At 44.8% G+C, this 21667-nt stretch overlaps 1 protein-coding gene across 21 annotated transcripts in view, besides 1 other annotated feature; it reads right to left on the bottom strand.

The window, feature by feature from the left end:
• SNX29 (sorting nexin 29) overlaps positions 1–21667 on the bottom strand; it is a 597554-nt gene that overhangs the window by 536660 nt on the left and 39227 nt on the right. For 19 of the 21 annotated variants that reach the window (XR_001752024.3, NM_032167.5, XM_017023874.2 and 16 more), the window contains exon 4: positions 10184–10308. Coding sequence is in view for 18 of the 21 variants with exons in the window: in NM_032167.5 (NP_115543.3) it covers positions 10184–10308 (125 nt within the window). In the remaining 3 variants the exon portion in view is untranslated. Of the gene's footprint in view, positions 1–10183; positions 10309–21667 lie in introns of those variants that run through there. The other 2 variants (XM_047434886.1, XM_047434885.1) reach the window with 1 other exon arrangement.
• Positions 10157–10226: an enhancer, noted in NCBI's record as "active region_10463". NCBI's record gives its function as "activates an Ori minimal core promoter by ATAC-STARR-seq in GM12878 lymphoblastoid cells {active_cell/tissue: GM12878}" and the evidence as "EXISTENCE:reporter gene assay evidence [ECO:0000049][PMID:35858748]".

Raw genomic sequence — 21667 nt, 5'->3', positions numbered from 1 at the left:
GAAACACATTCCACTGGGATCCTTCAGCACTATCCTAACCTCCCCCTACTGCAGGGGTGGACAGCTAACCCAGGGCAGGCAATTAACTGGCCGGAACCATGGCATATGCAACTTTCGTTTTTTTTAATATTACATAAAAATAGTATTTATCTTGATTGATAAGTTTTTTGGTACCGCCTTCAATTTTGTGGCCAAAGTGAGTGTCTCACTAACCTCACCCCAGTCTCAGCCCTGGACCACAGGGTCTCTTCGCACAAGTTCTACCAGAGCCACCAGAAAAGAGGCCTTGTCTCCTCCAGGAGCTGAGGTCAGCAAACAATGGCCTGGGAGTCAAATTTGGCCTCCAAACTGTTTTTATAAGCATGGTGTTCCTGGAACGCAGCCACACCCATTTGCTCCCATATGGTCTGTGGCTGAGTTTCTGCTCCAGTGGCAGAGCTGAGTCACTGCGATAGAGATCGCATGGCTCACAAACCCTATAATATGACCCGTAAGGAGGGAGTGTGCCGACCCCGTTCTAGAAGTAGGATCTCTCATCATCCTGGAAACCTGGAGCTACTTGGGGCCATTTTCCACCCCATAATGTAGCGAGACCCCACCCGGAAAGACACCCAACCACAGAGAAGCGGTGGTGAGGGACGACAGATGGAGACAGATTTGGGAGAAGGCAGACCCCCTTAATCCAGCTCAACTCCAAGATGATTTCTTAATTACTTGAGTCAATAAATAAATGTCCTTCATCTTTTTTTTCTTAAATCAATCTAAAGAATTTTCTATCATTTGCAACCACAGGAAATAACGCAGTGAGACAGGGCATGTTCTTCAGTCATCTGACAATCATCTATAGAAGACCAAGAACACACCAGGTGCTGAGCAACACCTGTGCTCCACAGCCATGCGGGGTGAGGGGTGTCTCATCAATGTGACAACACTGCCCCAAAACAAACAAAGCATTGCTCAACAACAACAACAACAAAAACAAAAACAGAAAACCCGCTGGGCGCGGTGGCTCACGCCTGTAATCCCAGCACTTTGGGAGGCCGAGGCAGGTGGATCACGAGGTCAGGAGATCGAGACCATCCTGGCTAACACGGTGAAACCCCATCTCTACTAAAAATACAAAAAATTAGCTGGGCGTGGTGGCGGGCACCTGTAGTCCCAGCTACTTGGGAGGCAGAGGCAGAAGAATGGCGTGAATCCGGGAGGCGGAGCTGGCAGTGAGCCGAGATGGTGCCACTGCACTCCAGCCTGGGCAACAGAGCAAGACTCTGTCTCAAAAAAAAAAAAAAAAAAGAAAGAAAGAAAAACACAGAAAACCCAAGACCAGCCTGGGCAACATAGTAAGAACCCATCTCTAAAAAAAGGAAACAGAAAACCCAACTACAAGGAGCCGAGTGTGGCGGCACACACCTGTCGTCCCAGCTACTTGGGAGGCGGAAGCAGGAAGATGGCTGGACCCCAGGAGTTTGAGGCTGTAGTGAGCTATGATTGCACCACTGCACTCCAGCCTAGTTAACAGAGCAAGGCCCTGTCTCTAAAAACAAAACAAAAAGAAAAAAACCCACACACAAAGAAAATCCAACCCCACGGAGCTGGGCTAGTCTGGAAATAGGCCAGTGATAGATACAAAGGCTATGTCAGGCCAAAATCTCCAACCTTTTGAACTCGCTGTCCCAGAGGACTGTCCTAACTCTGGACATCTCATTTACAATTGAGCAGGAAGAAAGGGAACGGGATGAAGCCAGCTTTATCACCCCTTTTACCAGGAAAGAACAAGTAATCCCAGAAAATCACAAGGGAGCAGAGAAAGCAAAGAACAAAACTCAAAACTGGCTTAATCCCTCACCGAGATAAAGGACTACATACCACAGCCTCAAGCAAAATCTGGGTTCTATCAAAGCCAAAGAAGACAGAGGGATGAATGTGAGGGCACACTCTAACAGAATCAGCCACACATGGTATCAGCCATGCCAGGAACAAAGGTAAACCAAGTTCACTCATGTGCCAGCCTGAGAACTCAGTGAATACAAGTGCTCCCAAATCTGTCACATCCCAAACTGAACCAGCCTGACCACAAGGCACAAATGGATTGGCAGAGCAGAGTGCCAACAAGGGGCTGAGCTCTGTCACTCTACCAACTTCCATCTAGCCGCAAGAGTGCCTTCCAGAACCAGGGCTCAGCATAATACACCCACATCCTACAAGAGTTTACAGCATACCACCTCCTTTATTAAAGAGTAGGAAATAAATTAACCAGGCATGGTGGCGTGCATGTGCAGTCCCAGCTACTTGAGAGGCCGAAGTAGGAGGATCGCTTGAGCCAGGAAGTTCAAGGCTGCAGAGAGCCATGATTGCACCACTGCACTCTAGCCTGGCAACAGAGCAAGACCCTGTCTCTTATTTAAAAAAAAAAAAAAAAAAAAGGGAAATTTCTAAGACGGACTTCTAAAGCTTGTATCTCACTTCCTTTTAGGGGCATACGCCATCATGAGCTGAAGAGTCATTTACATTCTGAAAGGAGCAAAGCAAAGGACCCACGGAACTCAGGCTGGATAACTGTGATCTAAAAACTGACAACTCAGAGGCCAAACTGAGTCTTTTTTACCTTTTTTTTTTTGAGGTGGAGTCTTGCTCTGTCGCCCAGGCTGGAGTGCCAGGGCACGGTCTCGGCTCACTGAATCCTCCGCCTCCTGGATTCAAGGAATTCTCCTGCCTCAGCCTCCCAAGTAGCTGGAATTACAGGTGCCTACCACCATGCCCAGCTAATTTTTGTATTTTTAATGGAGACAGGGTTTCACCATGTTGGCCAGGCTGGTCTCGAACTCCAGACCTCAAGTGATCCACCCACCTCGGCCTCCCAAAGTGCTGGGATTACAAGCCTGAGTCTTAATTTATGAGACATCAGGATTAAACACCTTTGAAACAGGCAGAGGTCACATTCGGCCAATAGGTATCAGTCCAGCTCCACTAGATCTTAACATGCTGAGACACATTCATACCCCTTAGTAAATAGCCACTGGCCCAAGTCCATGCCACCCTGGGTGTCAAGAACCCACCCCTGAGGGACCCTGTGGACATGCCCATGATCCAGTGACCCAGGATAACACACAGCCCAACGGGTACAGCACCCTGGCTTCTGACTTCCTCCCTAAAGCCAGCTTCTTTCTGCCAGTTGTCAACCACTTTTTTCACCTTGAATGGAGCTCTGCATTTTCTCTGCACCTTTAGCAGACATCCTTCCAAGGCTTCCCTTACCAAAAGCAGCTGATTGGCACGTGCATGAATACAAAAGAAAATCACCAACAGGGAACCGAAAGCAGGGATGGGCGAGTGAGGAACTGGACTTCCCCTCACCATCAAAAGGATGGACCCAGGGCTCCCCTGGCACATGCAGCTTCCTCCAAAATTAATTTTCTACAGAAATGAAATTGTTGCCCAAGGTGACCCAATGAAGCAAAATACAAATTCTGCTTTGAGTGCAATCAACCATTTTCAAAAATCCCCACTGAAGATCAAGGAAGTCGGTCTCTCTCATTTTACAGTTATGGGTATATTACCACCGCTTCCCACTGACTGAAGATGCGTACAGACCACTGAGAGTAGGGGTTTGGCTTCCTGGGAAAATGAGCAGCATGTTCTGAAGTCAGGGTCTTCAAGTGGTTATTTTGAATGCAGTCCTTTGGTGGCATCTACTGTGTAGGTGGCCAGGTATCTTGCAAGACACTAGAGCTACAAGGATGAGCCTGTAATCCTAACACTTTGGGAGGCCAAGGCAGGCGGATCACCTGAAGTCAGTAGTTCGAGACCAGCCTGCCCAATATGATGAAACCCCGTCTCTACTAAAAATATAAAACTTAACCAGGCATGGTGATGTGCACCTGTAATCGCAGCTACTCAGGAGGCTGAAGCAGGAGAAACACTTGAACCCAGGAGGCATAGGCTGCAGTGGGCCAAGATTGCACCACTGCACTCCAGCATGGGCAACAGATCAGACTCCATCTCAAAAAAAAAAAAAAAGAAAAAAGAAAACGGGTAGTTCCATACATAGGTTTGATGGAAGAAGAACTCAGGACTATAGGAGGGGCACAGTCCAGGTGAACCATGTAGGGAGCTCATGAATGGCTTTTTGAAAACAATTCTGAAACTTCAGAAGAGAAGAGAACAAAACCACATGAGACACCATTTCCACCCATTAGGATGGCAATTATGAAAACAGAAAAAAGGAGGCCAGGCACGGTGGCTCAGGCCTGTAATCCCAGCACTTTGGGAGGCCAAGGTGGGAGGATCACTTAGGGCAAGGAATTTGAGACCAGCCTGGGCAAGATAGTAAGATACTGTCCCTACAAAAAAATAATAAAATTACTATACATACATATATATATATGAAAAAAGGGGGTGGTAATCACTCTCTGGTTCTCCCCATGTATACAATTAAAGCTATATACCTTTTCTCTAATTTAAAAAGCCAGCATTGGCCGGGCACAGTGGCTCGCACCTGTACTTCCAGCACTTTGGGAGGCCAAGGCGGGCAGATCACTTGAGGCCAGGAGCTCGAGACCAGCCTGGCCAACGTGGTGAAACCCTGCCTCTACTAAAAATACAAAAATTAGCCAGGCATGGTGGCGCACGCCTGTAATCCCAGCTACTTGGGAAACTGAGGCAGGAGAATCACTTGAACCTGGGGGGTGGAGGCTACAGTGAGCCAAGATCACACTCCAGCCTGGGTGACAAAGTGAGATTCTATCTCACAAAATAAATAAAAACCCAACACTGGCAAGGCTATGGAGTTGGCAAGGATGTGGAAGGATGGTGGAGAAAATGGATCTCGTGTGCATTGCTAGTGGGAATGCAACAGGGTATAGCCTCTATGGAAAACCCTCTGATGGTTTCTAAAAAATAATTAAACATAGAATTATCATATGATCCAACATTGTCCTTCTGGGTGTATGCCCCAAAAGAACTAAAAGTGGAAAAAACAAGTATTTGTATCTTCATATTCACAGCAGTACCATTCACAATAGCCCATAAGTGGAAGACACCCAACTGTCATGGGAATAAACAAAATATGGGCTCTACATACCCTCAAAAATATTGTTCAGCCTTTAAAAAGAAGAAAATTCTGGGCCAGGCGCGGTTGCTCATGCCTGTAATCACAGCACTTTGGGAGGCCGAGGTGGGTGGATCACAAGGTCAGGGGTTCGAGACCAGCCTGGCCAACATAGTGAAACCACGTATCTACTAAAAATACAAAAATTAGCCGGGCATGGTGGCATGTGCCTATAATCTCAGCTACTTGGGAGGCTGAGGCAGGAGAATCGCTTGAACCCAGGAGGCGGAGGTTGTGGTGAGCTGAGATAGCGCTACTTACTGTACTCCAGCAAACTGGGCAACAGAGCAAGGCTCCATCAAAAAAAAAAAAAAAAAGAAGAAGAAGAAGAAGGAAATTCTGACACATACTACAACACGGACGATCCTTGAAGATGTTATGCTAAATAAAGCCAGACAAAAAAGAACAAATATTGCATGATTCCATTGGTACAAGGAACCTAAAGTAGTAGAATGCACTGAGGCAGAAAGTAGAATGCTGGCTGCCAGGGACAGGGGTGTGGAGGGAGTGAGTGTTAGTGTTTAACAAGTACACAGTTTTGGTTTGTAAAAATGGAAAGGTTCTGAGATGAATGGTGGTAATGATTACTGTATGACATGTGAATGTACATTAAGTACACTTACACTGAATTGTACACTTCAAATGGCTGAAATGGTAAATTTCATTATGTATATTTTACCAATTTTTTTTTTGTTCGTTTTGCTTTGTTTTGTTTTGAGATGGAGTCTCACTCTGTTGCCCAGGCTGGAGTGCAGTGGCGCGATCTCGGCTCACTGCAAGCTCCGCCTCCCGGGTTCACACCATTCTCCTGCCTCAGCCTCCCAAGTAGCTGGGACTATAGGCACCTGCCACCACGCCTGGCTAATTTTTTGTATTTTTAGTAGAAATGGGTTTCACCGTGTTAGCTAGGATGGTCTCGATTTCCTGACCTCATGATCCGCCCGCCTCAGCCTCCCAAAGTGCTGGGATTACAGGCATGAGCCACCACGCCCGGCCATATTTTTTTTTTAAGAGAGAATAGAAGTTTCGCCAGTAGGAGCTTGGGTGAGAGCTGGGGAAGGAAGGAAGGTAGCAGAAGGGAAAGAACTGCCAGACTTGAAGAGTTTCAAGACAACAGAAACTAGGAGAGCTGTTCAAAATACAGGATTGGGCCAGGAACAGTGGCTAACGCCTGTAATCCCAGCACTTTGGGAGGCTGAGGCAGGTGGATCACATGAGGCCAGGAGTTCGAGACCAGCCTAGCCAACATGAGGAAACCCCATCTCTACCAAAAATACAAAAATTAGGCAGCGTGGTGGTACACACCTGTAGTGCCAGCTACTCAGGAGGCCAAGACACGAGAATCACCTGAACCCAGAAGGCAGAGGCTGCAGTGAGCCGAGATCGCACCACTGCACTCTAGCCTGGGCGACAGAGCAAGACATTGTCTCAGAAAAAAAAAAAATACAGAACTGAATCATCTAAATTACTGAGAGGCACCAAGCAAAGCACAGGCAGCGGCACTGAAGGCCCTGCCCCACACAGGATCTGGCATTAGTGCTTCAGCTGCTGAATTATGGAGAGGTCTCAAGAGTCCCAAGGCAGGGGCGTGGCAGGAGGGGAGCTTGTGGGACTCAGGCCATCATTTATTTGCAAACTGGATGAAAGAGTTGTGATGTCAGACCTGCCGCTGCCTGTCAGCCCTGGCATACAGCACGGCATAAGAGGTAGAACAGAGACAGATACAGCCAGTAGGGAAGAGAGCCCAAGAAGCCAGATCACGCACTGGATACTTTGTCCCGATTCTACAAGAGACCCACAGAAGAGCTTTAAGTTAGTGGGGTTACGGGGAATAAGTGGGGGAGTGGGATGGTCATTAAAGAAGACCACTCCATGATGTGCAAAGTGGGTCAGAGCTGATCAAGACTGAAGGCAGGAAAACACAAGTCGGGGAGAAAGAAGAGAATTCACTGAGGATGGAGGAACCGCGAGTGGCTCAGGGACCCATGTGAGAGACAGAAAACAATGCTCTTTGTGGGACTGGTTTTGGGGCAGAGAAGAGGGAGAAGGAGAAGGCTGGGAGGAAGCCCAAGAGCTGTCCAGGGGACCTGGGTAAAAGGCAGAGCCATTTACTAAGCAAGAAACACAGGAACACATATGGATGAAGATCAGAATTCAGTTTTGGAGACTGACAAGCCCGTGCTGTACGCCAAATAGAGACATTCATGAGACAGAGTTCAAGGAAGTGCTCTGGGCTGCGGGTATGACTAAGAATAACAGGCACATACAGAGCAACTTCACCAAGGAATCCAAACAGTATGCATAGAAACAAGAGCCAACAATGAATCCAAGGATGAATAATATTTGAGGGTATGGAAGTGATATGCCAACAAGGATCAGAAAAGAAGAAGAAAGTGTGCCAAGAGGCTATGGCATCGCAGAAAGCAAGGGAAGGCAGTGTTTCAAAGTCAGATCCTCATTGCCCAAGGCTGCCGAACAGACAGGGAAGATTAGACTTCAATTTTACAGGCAGCTCAGCAACAGTAACTGTGTCTCTGGTATATTCTGAATGGCCCCGATCACCTTGTAATTGACTGCCAACCTATAACCTGACGATGATATATCAGTGATTAAAAGAACATCAAATTCCAGCCAGGCGTGGTGGCTCATGCCTGTAATCCCAGCACTTTGGGAGGTCGAGGCGGGCAGATTACCTGAAGTCAGGAGTTCGAGACCAGCCTGGCCAACATGGTGAAACTCCATCTCTACTAAAAATACAAAAATTAGCCAGACATGGTGGCACACACCTATAGTCCCAGCTACTCAGGTGGCTGAGGCTGGAGAATCACTTGCACCTGGGAGGCAGAGGTTGCAGTGAGCTGAGATCATGCCACTGCACTCCAGACTGGGCAACAGAGTGAGGCTCCATCTAAAAAAAAAAAAAAAAATCAAATTCCAAGGTCATGCCATCAAATGCATCAAACGCCAATAACGGCAGTGGTTCTTTCTCCTTTCCCAAGTGGAATGGAAAATAATTCATTTCTCCATACTGTATTCTGTACTGGCTACTTGGGTTTCCAGTGGCTACAAAGACAGCAAGCCAAGTCTGTGTAGAGCTCTGGGTCACTTTTCATTAATTTTTGCTTTGTTCCTCAAAAATTAATCACTTTCCCTGTAGCAAGCTGGAGTGATCCTGGTATATGGTACCTCAGGAACCATGAAATACAGTACTGCACGCAATGAATAATGCCCTTCCTTCCAACCAAGATGTATTTGTTTAGTGAACATAATTTTATTGAACAACTGTGTGTTTATTGAACAACTCATTTCTACAAATGAGTAACTGGTGAAATAAACAAGAAACAAAGATCTAGGAGCCTCTCTGAACTTACCCTAGCCCCGGGAGACTGCCCAAAGAAAGAAAAAAAAAAAAAGCAAACATCTGTTGAAAGTGATTACACATTCTAGGCATGTATCAAAATATCACAAGTACCAAGGCCAGGCGCAGTGGCTTACACGTATAATCCCAGCACTCTGGAAGGCCGAAGTGAGCAGATCACAAGGTCAGGAGTTCGAGACCAGCCTGGCCAACATGGTGAAACCTGTCTCTACTAAAAATACAAAAACTAGCCAGGCATGGTGGTGGGCACCTGTAATCCCAGCTACTCGGGAGGCTCAGGCAGGAGAATCGCCTGAACCCAGGAAGCGGAGGTTGCATTGAGCCAAGACGGTGCCATTGCACTCCAGCCTGGGCGACAAGAGCAAGACTCCATCTCAATAAAAAATAAAAAATCACAGGTACCCCATACATATGTACAAATATTATGTACCAATAAAATAATTTTAATAATAATTTTTTTAAAAAAAAGAACTGTTGGAGCCAGGCACAGTGTCTCACATTTGTAATCCCAGCTAGTTGGCAGGCTGAGGTGGGAAGATCACTTGAGCCTAGGAGTTTGAGACCAGCCTGGCCAACAGAACAAGATCTCTGTCTCTATAAAAGTTTAAAAACCAGCCGGGCATGGTGGTGCAAGCCTGCAATCCTAGCTATTTCAGAGGCTCAGGCAAGGGGATCACTTGAGCCTAGTAGTTCCAGGCTTTGGTGAGCCATGATCACACCACTGCACTTCAGCCTGGGCAACAGAGCAAGACCCCAACTCTAAAAAATAAATAAGTAAATAAATAAAAAGATCTATTGAAGGGTTGAGAAAAAAGAAAGGATGATACAGCAACATGAAGGAGAGGGAAAGACTAAGGATTATGTTAGCAGAGAATTTCCACACACCGCCACCAAATGCAACAAGGTCCAACTTTTGGCTGTGAAAGGGGAACCAGCCAAAGACAGCACATTTTACTCAGCAACGACACTGACATAGTGATAAGAAAGATTCCGGGATTCCCAGCAGCAGCCGTGGTCAGGGCTGGAACTGAAAGCTCAGGGGAGGAGGAGACCACAGGACATTTGTTACATGACATGATCCACTTCAAGGTTCAGCTCCAAAGCAGATCACTATGAACAGTTTCCTCATCTGTACAGTGGCAGTAATAACAGTCCCTACTACTCACAGGGCTATCGAACTGAATGAGTTAATTTACATCAAAGTGCAAGTCTTGCACTAAGTACTAAGCATTAATAGTTATTATTTAGCATTATGCTTGTCACTCACATGGAAATGTTTTTCCAACATTAAATTGGATGATAACAGAACCTCTGGGGTTTCTGTTGCTGGTATGGAAGACATTAATTATGAAATGCCATGCTATCCTCAGGCATCAAATTAAAACAGATTATTAATTTCCCAGCAACTGGCACGCCACAGTGGTGAAATAAACCAGTGTGCTACAGGTCCCCGAACCCAGAGGAGACTGTACCATGTGGCTCTGAGAATTCTGCACAAAAGATGACTTCATTTAAATTAAGATGCCAGACAACACCATTACGTTTTGACTACTATTAAGACATGGATTTCTGTGCCCATACACCACCCCACCAAGTCCCACGCGATCACTGCCCTGCCCACTATTAAAAAATAAATAAAAAGAAAAAGAGCAGAAGGAAGACAAGCTCCTCCAAGCTACAGCCAGGCAGAGCAGTACCTGTTTCGGTTTTGCTGGCAAAGCCCGCTGCCTGCTTGATCGCTGCCGCTGTGAGTGCCAATCCTCGACTCCTCTTCAAGCCATGCTGCAGGACGGCTTCAAACTGGGCACACAGACAGGTGACCCTGTGAGAAAACCAATGACTCATCAGTCCCCCCAGAAAAGGGAGTAGCAACTAGGGCGGCCCCAGCATCTCCAGGAAGTGAGTAAGCCGCCAGGTGTAAACCTCAGCGTGAAGGCAGACAGGAGACACCTGGATGTGCAGGCTTGGTAACTGACCTGCGCCACTCCACACACCTCCCGTGTTGATGTTCATTTCACAGAGCTCAGGATGCCCAGCACAGTCTACCCATATGCATCAGACTGGCACAGTAACAATTCACAAGGAACATGGGAACAGGGACGGGTGCCAGCTGGCGGGGGTGCAGAGGGGGGAAAAGTTAAAAACCAATCAGTTCAGTGTGGGGAGCGGTTGGATGTTAATTGCATCCAATTCACAAGTTTTAACTCTAATTCATATTACATGTAGTTTAAGGAACAAGATTATGTTTTTGGAGACTGAATTCACCAGGCTGCCAAATTGGAAACATTGTGTAATTTCATGGCCTGTTACATGCTCTAAAAAGAATATATGAATTCTGATTCTCATTCTTTATATAAGAGATTACATGCTCTAAAGAGATTATATGAGATTACATGCTCTAAAAATAATAATAATATGAATTCTGATTCTTGTTCTTTATTCTGTTGTAAGAGAATACATTGTGAACTCAGATTGTGAGTTGATGGAATTTTCAATTAAGTTACAATTACTGTGCATTTAATTGAATTTGTTTCTCAATAACCAAAGAAATAGGAGATTCAGGAACAAAGAGATGAGGTCACAGCAACTGCACTTGATCTTAGCAATCTTCTCAGGGCTCCTGAGCCTCTGCCCAACTGGGTCTGTGGACTTCTGAGCCCTTTCCATTCATTCATACAACAAAAGTTAAGAAATTCTGAATGTCTCCCACATGCCAGGCACTGTTCTAGGCTCTGAGGAGATGACAGTGAGAGTGAGACAGGCACGGTTTCTGCCTCACTCATGTGCATGTTTCTAGCAAAGGGAGGTACACAAATAAGTTAACCAGACCATTTCAGTTAATCAGAACTTAGAAGAAAATAAGACAGGATGAGATGGCAGGTGGCGATGGGGCAAGGACAGGCTTAGATTCTGTGGGCTGAATGAAGGTGGCCTTGGAATTACGAGCTGGATATGACAAGGGCAGCAGGCTGGAAAGACAGGCCCAGTGCAAAGGCCTTGAGGCCACCACCATCCGGCTCAGCCTTGCCTGGCCTCGGGCATTTGCTGCTCCACCCATCCCGACACCCATGGTAACAATACTCCAGGTGTTTATCACTCTGTGGGTAGTAAAATATTTTCATACCCATTATTTTACTCTTCTCATCAACACTTTAATATAGATGAGGCACGTACTATTATCTCCATTTTACACTTGAAGAAGCTGAGGCTGACATTTACGTGACCTCCTGAAAACTGCATAAAAAGCAGTGACATCTGTACCTGAACTCCATCCTCGCAAGCTGATCCAATGTAGTTTCCTCCATCCCCCATATCATCACGAAAAACATCCTTTATTCTAAGATAAAAGTCCTCTGGCTACCTTACTCAATCTTTACTCGTCATTCTGTCTACACTACACACCCCTAACACAGCATCAGCAAATCCACAGCATTCATGCCTTTCCACTGTATTCGGTGCCCATGACAGACATCACTAATCGATCCCAGCATTGTAGGCCACCACTGGCAAATGACCAAAGCTGGCCCTGCACAGAAGGGAGCCTATTAGGCATCACAAATCTAATACTTCCCCTCAACCATACTGCTTGGTTTTCACCTTCTATCTTATCTTTGCTGGATTCCTGGCACCTAGCTCAGCACCTGGTATATAATGTGTGTTCCACAAATCTTTTTCCAGTGGGTAGGTAAATCAATGATTAACCTTGAACCAGAGATCCCAGAATACTCCCCCACATTGAAACAAACCTCTTTGCTGGGCAGATATCACTCTTAATTATTATAGATGTGCATACGTTAGTCTCTGTACACACAGGCACTTTTTTTTTTTTTTTTTTTTTTGAGATGGAGTTTTGCTCTTGTTGCCCAGGCTGGAGTGCAATGGCACAATCTCGGCTCACTGCAACGTCCACCTCCCAGGTCCAAGCGATTCTCCTGCCTCAGCCTCCCATGTAGCTGGGAATACAGGCGCCTGCCACCATGCCTGGCTAATGTTTGTATTTTTAGTAGAGATGGGGTTTCACCATGTCGGCCAGGCTGGTCTCCAACTCCTGAACTCAGGTGATCTGCCCGCCTTGGCCTCCCAAAGTGCTGGGATTACAGGAATGAACCATTGCACCCAGCCTCATAAGCACATATTTTAAGGCTTCCTGAAAGCTGGGACGTCCACCAAAACTCTCTAAATACCACAGAAACCAAAACCATGGCACATAGCAACAATGACCTAGATCAGGGGTCTGTCTCAGAGAGAAAAAAACAAAAACAAAAACAAAAAAACTCTGGGGTATGTTGAGAGTTCTCTGTAATTAACCAAAGCCTCTATCTTTAAAAGAATCTTCTGCAAATACAGCAATCAACTCAACAATTGCTATTAGTTTGCTTGGTTCCAATGCACAAGTCAATAACTGCCCAGCCAGCTCTAGATAAAACCAGGGCCCTAAGAGGAATGGAATGCAGGCGAACTGCACAAATCCAGTCCCCAAGGTTTGGGTTACATCATCAGTACTGTGTCACAGAGGCACACAGGTCACAACTAACCTAACACTGCACGAATACCCAGGTGGATGCTAGTCTTTTAATTAGATCACTATGATGCCTTCCTCGCCAAAGGCCGTTCTACTTAACACCCTCCCCATATGCCCTTTCCACCTCCAGTTTGGATCTGAGCACGTATCTACTGGTCATTCAAGGCAGATCTCGACTGGGTGCGGTGGCTCACACTTATAATCTCAGCACTTTGGCAGGCCAAGGCGGGTGGATCACCTGGGGTCAGGAGTTCAAGACCAGCCTGGCCAACATGGTGAAACCCCATTTCTACTAAAAAAATATATATATAAAATGAGCTGGGTGTGGCGGCACATGCTTATAATCCCAGCTACTCTGGAGGCTGAGGCAGGAGCATCACATGAATCCGGGAGGCGGAGGTTGCCGTGAGCCGAGATCGTGCCATTATATTCCTGCCTGGGCAACAAGAGCGAAACTCAGTCTCAAAAGAAAAAAAAAAAAAAAGACTTAGCTCACGTATTCCCTCCTCCAGGAAGCCTTCCTGAATGTTTCCTCATTCTGAGCTTCTTTGTACTGCAGCGCTCGCCACTCTCTGTTAATGGTCTGATTTCCAGGGCTGCCTGCTCTTGCTAACTGTGAGCTCCCGTGCACTTAGCACCATGCCTGGTTGCTACAGAGAATGTGACCGACATGGTCTCTCCAGTCAGGGAACTCAAGATCATGAACCTGATGTACATTTTGGTGGGAGATGCATCTCAGGAGATTTCGTATAAACGGTCATTTGAATCCAGGTGAGTTAAAACTAGTGAATCAAGTAGAGCACACCTGTCCAAGCACAGGAATCTACTCTTTAGCTTCTGGTGGACACATCTTGGAAGCACTATGTCATACACGAGGTCACACTAAGGCTTTCCACTGCTTCCCATCTTATATGGGAAGTTAATTAAGTTAATGAACCATCTTATATGGGAAGCAGTAGATGATAATTCCCACGAAATGAAAGGAGCACTAGCTTTAGTAGAGTTCTTTCTTTTCTTTTCTTTTCTTTTCTTTTTTTTTTTTGAGACAGGGTCTTGCTCTGTTACCCAGGCTGGAGTGCGGTGGTGTGATCATAGCTCACTGCAGCCTCAATCTCCCAGGCTCAAACGATCCTCCCACCTCAGCCTACCAAGTAACTGAGACTACAGGCATGCACTACCATGCGCAGCTACTTTTTTTTTTTTTTTTTTTTTGAGACAGAGTCTCACTTTGTTGAGAGGGCTGGGGGGTTCCCAGAATACTCTCTACTGCAGACACTCTGGCTTCACTGGAGAGGTCAGCTGCCTCCTTGCCATTTTATCACACCAAACTTCCATTCCAAGTTAATGAACTAGGAATATTATTTTAAATAAGTGGGTCACTTAACAACAGTGAATATTTTAATTTTTTAAAAAGCACCAGTCAGGTGGGGTGCAGTAGCTCACACCTATAATACCAGCACTTTGGGAGGCCAAGGCAGGTAGATCACTTGAGGTCAGGAGTTCGAGACCAGCCTGGCCAACAGGGTGAAATCTCAACTCTACTAAAAACAGAAAAATTCACTGGGCGTTACAGCAGGCACCTGTAATTCCAGCTACTGGGAAGGCTGGAGCAGGAGAATTCCTTGGACCCAGGGGGCATAGGTTGCAGTGAGCTGAGATCACATCACTGCACTCCAGCTTGGGCAACAGAGAGAGACTTGGTCTCAAAAAAAAAAAAAAAAAAAGGAATAAGGTACTGATCCATGCTACAACATGGAAGAACATTGAAAATACTATGCTAGAGGAAGGAAGCCACATCCAAAACACCACACACTGTATGATTCCATGAAACGGCTAAGAAGGGTAAATACAGACAGTCCTTAACATAACCATGGTTCAATTTATGACTTTTTGACTCTACAATAGGATTATCAGGACATAACCCCATCATAAGTCAAGGAACATTTGGATATAGAAACAGAAAGTCATTTAATCAGTGGTTCTCTAAGGCTGGAGTTGAAATTAGGGATTAAGTGTTAACTAGCACAAGGGAATTTGGGGGGATAATGGAAATGCTCTAAAACTGAATTGTGATCGATGGTTACACAACACTATAAATTTATTAAAAAGCACAAAAATTGGCTGGGCGTTGTGGCTCATGCCTGTAATCCCAACACTTTGGGAGGCTGAGGTGGGCAGATCACCTGAGGTCAGGAGTTCAAGACCAACCTGGCCAACATGGCAAAACTCCATTTCTACTAAAAATACAAAAATTAGCTGGGTGTGGTGGCAGGCTCCTGTAATCCCAGCTACTCCAGAGGCTGAGGCTGGAGAATCGCTTGAACCCGGGAGGCGGAGGTCGCAGTGAGCTGAGATTGTGCCACTGTACTCCAGCCTGAGCAACAAGAGCGAAACTCTGCCTCAAAGAAAAAAAAAAAGCACAAAAATCACTGAATTGAAAAAAAAAAATCACTGAATTGTATACTTACAATTTTAACGGTATATAAACTAGACCTCAATAAAGCTGTTTAAAAAAAAAAAAAAAAAAACTTCCCCCCAGGTGCTCAGTAAAAGTCTGATAAAGCAGCAAAAGAGTTGTGAATGGAAAATGAAGTAACTTCCTCCTGCTGCATTTGAAACTGTCCACCAAGACCAGCAGACCTGGACACTGCACCAGCTCAACTAGTTTTCTGTGAAGATTCAGCAAGCATTTGTTTTCATGAGCTTTGTCCTATCTTTTTTTTTTTTTTGAGATGGAGCCTCGCTCTGTTCCCCAGGCTGGAGTGCAGTGACGTGATCTCGGCTCACTGTAACCTCTGCCACCCACGTTCGAGATTATCCTGCCTCAAGCCTCTGGAGTAGCTGGGATTACAGCCACGGGCCACCACGTCCGGCCATTTTTTGTGTGTATTTTTAGTAGAGCCAGGGTTTCACCATGTTGGCCAGGCTGATCTCAAACTGCTGACCTCAAGTGATCCGCCTACCTTGGCCCCCCAAAGTGCTAGGATTACAGAAGTGAGACACCAAGCCCAGCCTGTCCTATATTTCAAGACTGCTTAATCTGCACACGAATCTATTAAAAGATTCCTAAGAATCCTATACTTTTGCATGGCAATCATTAAAACAACAGGATCAGCCATGAATGCTGCATTTTTATAAACTGCATCAAATTAACCTTGTGACAGAAAGACCTATTTACTTGATTTTTTTTTTTTGAGTCAGAGTCTCGCTCTGTTGCCCAAAATGGAGTGCAGTGGCGCGATCTCCGCTCACTGCAACCTCTGTCTCCTGGGTTCAAGCAATTGTCCTGCCTCAGCCTCCCAAGGAGCTGGGATTACAGGTGTGCACCACCATGCCCAGCTAATATTTTTATATTTTTTGTAGAGATGGGGTTTCACTGTGTTGGCCAGGCTGGTCTCGAACTCCTGAATTGTGATCCGCCTGCCTCAGCCTCCCAAAGTGCTGGGATTCCAGGCATGAACCACCACAACCGGCAATTCTTTTACTATGTTACAGCTTTACTGGAGCCTTTTTGAGAAAACCAACTACAATCATGAAAATGGACTGGATTATCGTCATTTGTAAAATTCCAATGTTAGCTGGAATGGAGTCTGCTGTACCAGTGAAAATCAGTCAATCAACAGTATGAGCCATATCTCAGATTTAAGACAGTAAGAACAAGGCCATTACATGACAATCATTTGAAATGGGCCATGAGGCTGGGCTCAGTGGCTCACGCCTGTAATCCCAGCACTTTGGGAGGCCGAGATGGGAGGATCACCTGAGGTCAGGAGTTCCAGACCAGCCTGGCCAACATGGCAAAACCCCATCTCTACTAAAAATACAAAAATTAGCTGAGCATGGTGGCGAGTGCCTGTAATCCCAGCTACTCAGGTGGCTGAGACAGGAGAATCGCTTGAACCCAGGAGGGGGAGGTTGCAGTGAGCCGAGATGGCACCACTGCACTCCAGCCTGGGGGACAGAGCGAGACTCCATCTCAAAAAAAAAAAAAAATGAGCCATGAGCTATATTTATGTTTAATTAATTTTCAAAAAGGTTCACATGCTTAATCCATGAATTTCAGGAGCAGAAATCAATCCTAGACTATAATCTACAAATCAGATAAAAATCTAAGAACAGGTGGGGCGCAGTTGCTCACACCTGCAATCCCAGCAATTTGGGAGGCCGAGGTGGGCAGATCACTTGAGGCCAGGAGTTTGAAACCAGCCTGGGCAACAAAGCAAAACCTCATCTCTATTCTAAAAAATAAATAAATAAATAATTTTTTTAAAGCGTTAAGATTACAGGCACAGTGGCCTGAAACCCTATCTCTACAAAAAATAAAAAAATTAGCCCTGGGTGTGGTTGCGCATGCCTGTAGTCCCAGCTACTCAGGAAGCTGAGACAGAAGGGTTGCTTGAGCCCAGGAAGCGGAGGCTACAGTGAGCCGGGATCGCACCACTGCACTTTAGCATGGGTGACAGAACAAGACCTTGTCTTAAAAAAAAAAAAAGTTTAGAAACTGCCTAAATATTTAACACTTGGGGAACTGGTTAGATAAACAATAGCTATTTAGGTCTTTAAAATATTTACCAAGAGCTTATACTGATAAGTCAATATCTTTATAACATAAGATGAAAAATAAGCAGGATAGGTAACTGTATGTTAAGTATGGTCTCAGTTATGCTTGAAAAATACAATACAGGCCAGGTGCAGTGGCTCATGCCTGTAATCCCAGTGCTTTGGGAGGCCAAGGCAGGCAGATCACCTGAGGTCAGGAGTTTGAGACCAGCCTGGCTAAAATGGTGAAATCCCGTTTCTACTAAAAATACAAAAAAAAGTCGGGTGTGGTGGTACGTGCCTGTAATCCCAGCTACTTGGGAGGCTGAGCCAAGAGAATCGCTTGAACCCGGGAGGCAGAGGTTTGCAGTGAGCCAAGATCACGCCACTGCACTCCAGCTTGGGCAACAAGAGCAAAACTCCGTCTCAAAAAAAAAAAAAAATTATATATCTATATCTATCTATCTATCTATCTATCTATCTATCTATATATATATATTTACATATATAACAATTCCAAAGGGAATTATGTAAAAAAATTAAGAGCCACTTGGTGAAAGATTTACTGGTCATAGTTGCCAGGCGCGGTGGCTCACTCTTGTAATCCCAGCACTTTGGGAGGCCGAGGCGGGCAGATCACGAGGTCAAGAGATCAAGACCATTCTGGCTAACACAGTGAAACCCTGTCTCCACTAAAAATACAAAAAAGTAGCCGGGCATGGTGGCGGGCCTGTAGTCCCAGCTACTCGGGAGGCTGAAGCAGGAGAATGGCGTGAACCTGGGAGGCGGAGCTTGCCGTGAGCCGAGATAGTGCCACTGCACTCCAGCCTGGGTGACAGAGCGAGACTCCATCGCAAAAAAACAAAAAGCATTACTGGTCATGGTTTTCTTGCTTTCATACTTTTCTGAACCTAACTCATTTGCTAAAACAAGCATTTAAAAAAGTATTCGGGCTTCAAGAACCAGAAATATTATTGCCTTGAACTACAGATAAGGAATGAAGAAATATGGTTTAAAGGTTATGGTGAGGAAAAATCATGCAATTATTTAAAATGCTTATAGAAAACTTGGATATAGCATTTTTTAAAAGGTTAGATTGTAATATTAAATAAAAAAAAACAGATCTACAAAAAGATTTAAATCTTTCTAACCCACAAATGTAAAAACACTGCAATAAAAGATAATATACCCCAGGCCGGGCTCAGTGGCTCACACCTGTAATCCCAGCTCTTACGGAGGCATCGGCAGGAGAACAGCTTGAGCCCAGGAGTTCGAGACCTGCATGGGCAATATCGCGAGACCGCATTCTCCACAAAAAGGAAAAAAAAAAAAAAGACAAAAAAAAGTGTAAAAGATAATATACCCCACAAATTTGCACAAAGAAAAACAAAGACACCATAACATTAAAAGTTGACTTTAGGTAGACAAAACTAGAGGAGAGGAACTTGATGCATAACAGTAACAAAAATAAAATATATCTTTCTTTTTTTTTTTTCTTGAGACAGAGTCTCACTCTGTCACCCAGGCTGAAGTGCAGTGACACGATCTCGGCTCACTGCAACCTGCGCCTCCCAGGTTCAAGTGATTCTCCTGCTTCAGCCTCCCGAGTGGCTGGGATTACAGGTGCCCACCACCACGCCCGGCTGATTTTTTTTTTTTTAATTTTTAGTAGACATGGGGTTTTACCATCTTGGCCAGGGTGGTCTCAAACTCCTGACCTCGTGATCCACCTGCCTTGGCCTCCCAAAGTGCTAGGACTACAGGTGTGAACCACCACGCCCAGCCAAAATAAATCATTTTTAAAAATAAATAGGCAAGCCCTATATGAAGAAAAACATAAAATTTTGTTAAACGGCATAAAGATCAAACAGATAAAAAGAAACACCATTTTCCTGAATGGGAAGACTTATTAAACTCAAAACATCAATTTTTCCCAAATTAATGTACAAACTTAATACAATTCCAATAACAAATGCAGGAAGGACTTGGCACCCCTTGTTCTGGGGTACAGGCCAGGCGTGGTGGCAGGTACCTGTAATCCCAGCTACCTGGGAGGCTGAGGCAGGAGAATCACTTGAACCCGGGATGCTGGGGTTGCAGTGAGCCAAGATCGCGCCATTGCACTCCTGCCTGGGTGACGAGAGAGACTTCGTCTCAAAAAAAAGAACAAAACAAAAGAAAGCCCCCCCACCCAAAAAAAATCCTAATACATATGGAAGCATTTTATCTATAATAATGGTAGCACTTCAGTCAGATGGGCAGAATGGGCTGCTTAACCAATGTCGTTAACACAAAGGATCATGCAGCTGAAAAAAAAATAAGGATAAATTCCTGTCTCATAAGGATAAATTCCTAATGCAAACCACAGACAGAATGAAATTCCAGATGGGTCAAGATCAAAGAAAAATGTTAAGTGTAAAAAATGAAAACGTTTACAGTAAAAATAACTGAGAAAAATACTGAAGAATCTGAGGATAAGATGCAGTACTCGAAAACCAAAACATTTTAAGGTTCACAGAATTAATTACATAAAATTTGTAAATGTCTACATGGCAAAAAGATACCATAAATACAGTGAAACAATAACTAAAGTGACAGATGAGAAAATATTAACAGAACATATAGCTGAAAAAATTAATATTCACAAAAACTCTGTTTCTACAAATGGATAAGACAAGCAACTCAAAAAATAAAAAGCACAGAAGGTGAAGAAATCAACCACAAAAGGGTGAAATACAGTTGGCCAATAAATATAAGAAAAGATACTCAATCTCACTAATAGCCCAAGAAAGTATAGTAACACTGAGGCCCAGGTTAGGACTAAGGACTTCAAAAGCAATCATAGTGCTAGCAAGAGCATGGGGAAATAGGTATTGCCAATAGGAATAGAAATATGAATTGCTATACCTTTCTGCAAAGACATCAGGCAGTATAATTTTTGTTGCTGTTGTTGAGATAGGGTCTCATTCTGTCACCCACACTGGAGTGCAGTGGCAAAATCATGGCTCACCGCAGTCTCGACCTCCCGGGTCCCAGTGATCTTCCACCTCAGCCTCCCAAGTAGCTGAGACCACAGGCGCTACCACGGTCAGTTAATTTTTTTAATTTTTTTTTTTGTAAAGACAGGGGTCTCACTATGTTGCCCAGGCTGGTCTGTAACTCCTGGGCTTAAGCAATCCTCCTGCCCTGGCCTCCCAAAGTGCTAGAATTATAGGTATGAGCCACTGTGTTCGGCCAGTATAATTTTTTTTAAGGTGCATAACCCTTTGACCCAGCAATCCCACTTCTAGGAAATCACCCTATAAAAATAAAAGCCCTAACAGCAAGAAAATGAACAAGAAATGAACAGACAGCTCACCAAAAGGGATATGCAGATGGCCAACAAGCACAGGAAAAGATGTCCAACATCATTAGTCATTAGGGAAATGCAAATTCAAACCACAATAAGACACAACTACACACCTATCAGAATGGCTAAAATACAAAGTCATGACAAAATCAAATGCTAGCAAGGACACAGAGAAACTGGATCACTGCCACACTACTGGTGGGAACGCAAAATGGTACAGCCGCTCTAGATAAAACTAACTATGCAAATACCATACAACCTAGCAATGACACTCTTGTGCCAGTGAAATTATTGTTGGCAAGAAAGAAAAAGGTAGACTTATGAACTACTGGTAGAAATGTTTCGAAAGCCAGAGGCTGCTCTCTGACTCAGCAACCCAACTCCTGGAAACCTATACCAGAAATATAAAATCCTCAGTATATTAAAAAAAAAATGATGCTTAAGAATGTCTATTGCTTCATTGTCCATCATAGTAAAAATCAGAAACAAAGTCAGTATTCCACAGGCAACTGTTTGTACATCTGCAACATGCAATGCAATGTAGCCTTTTAAAAAGAATTATTAGCCGGGCGGGGGCAGTGGCTCCCACCTGCAATCCCAGCACTTTGGGAGGCCAAGGTGGGCAGATCACTTGAGGTCAGGAATTTGAGACCAGCCTGGCCAACATGGTGAAATCCCGTCTCTAATAAAAACACAAAAATTAGCCGGGCGTGGTGGCGGGCGCCTGTAATCCCAGCTACTCAGGAGGCTGAGACAGGAGAATTGCTTGAA

Source organism: Homo sapiens, chromosome 16, assembly GCF_000001405.40.
Source record: "Homo sapiens chromosome 16, GRCh38.p14 Primary Assembly".
Classification (NCBI taxonomy): domain Eukaryota; kingdom Metazoa; phylum Chordata; class Mammalia; order Primates; family Hominidae; genus Homo; species Homo sapiens.
This window is presented reverse-complemented; position numbering and strand designations above follow the sequence as displayed.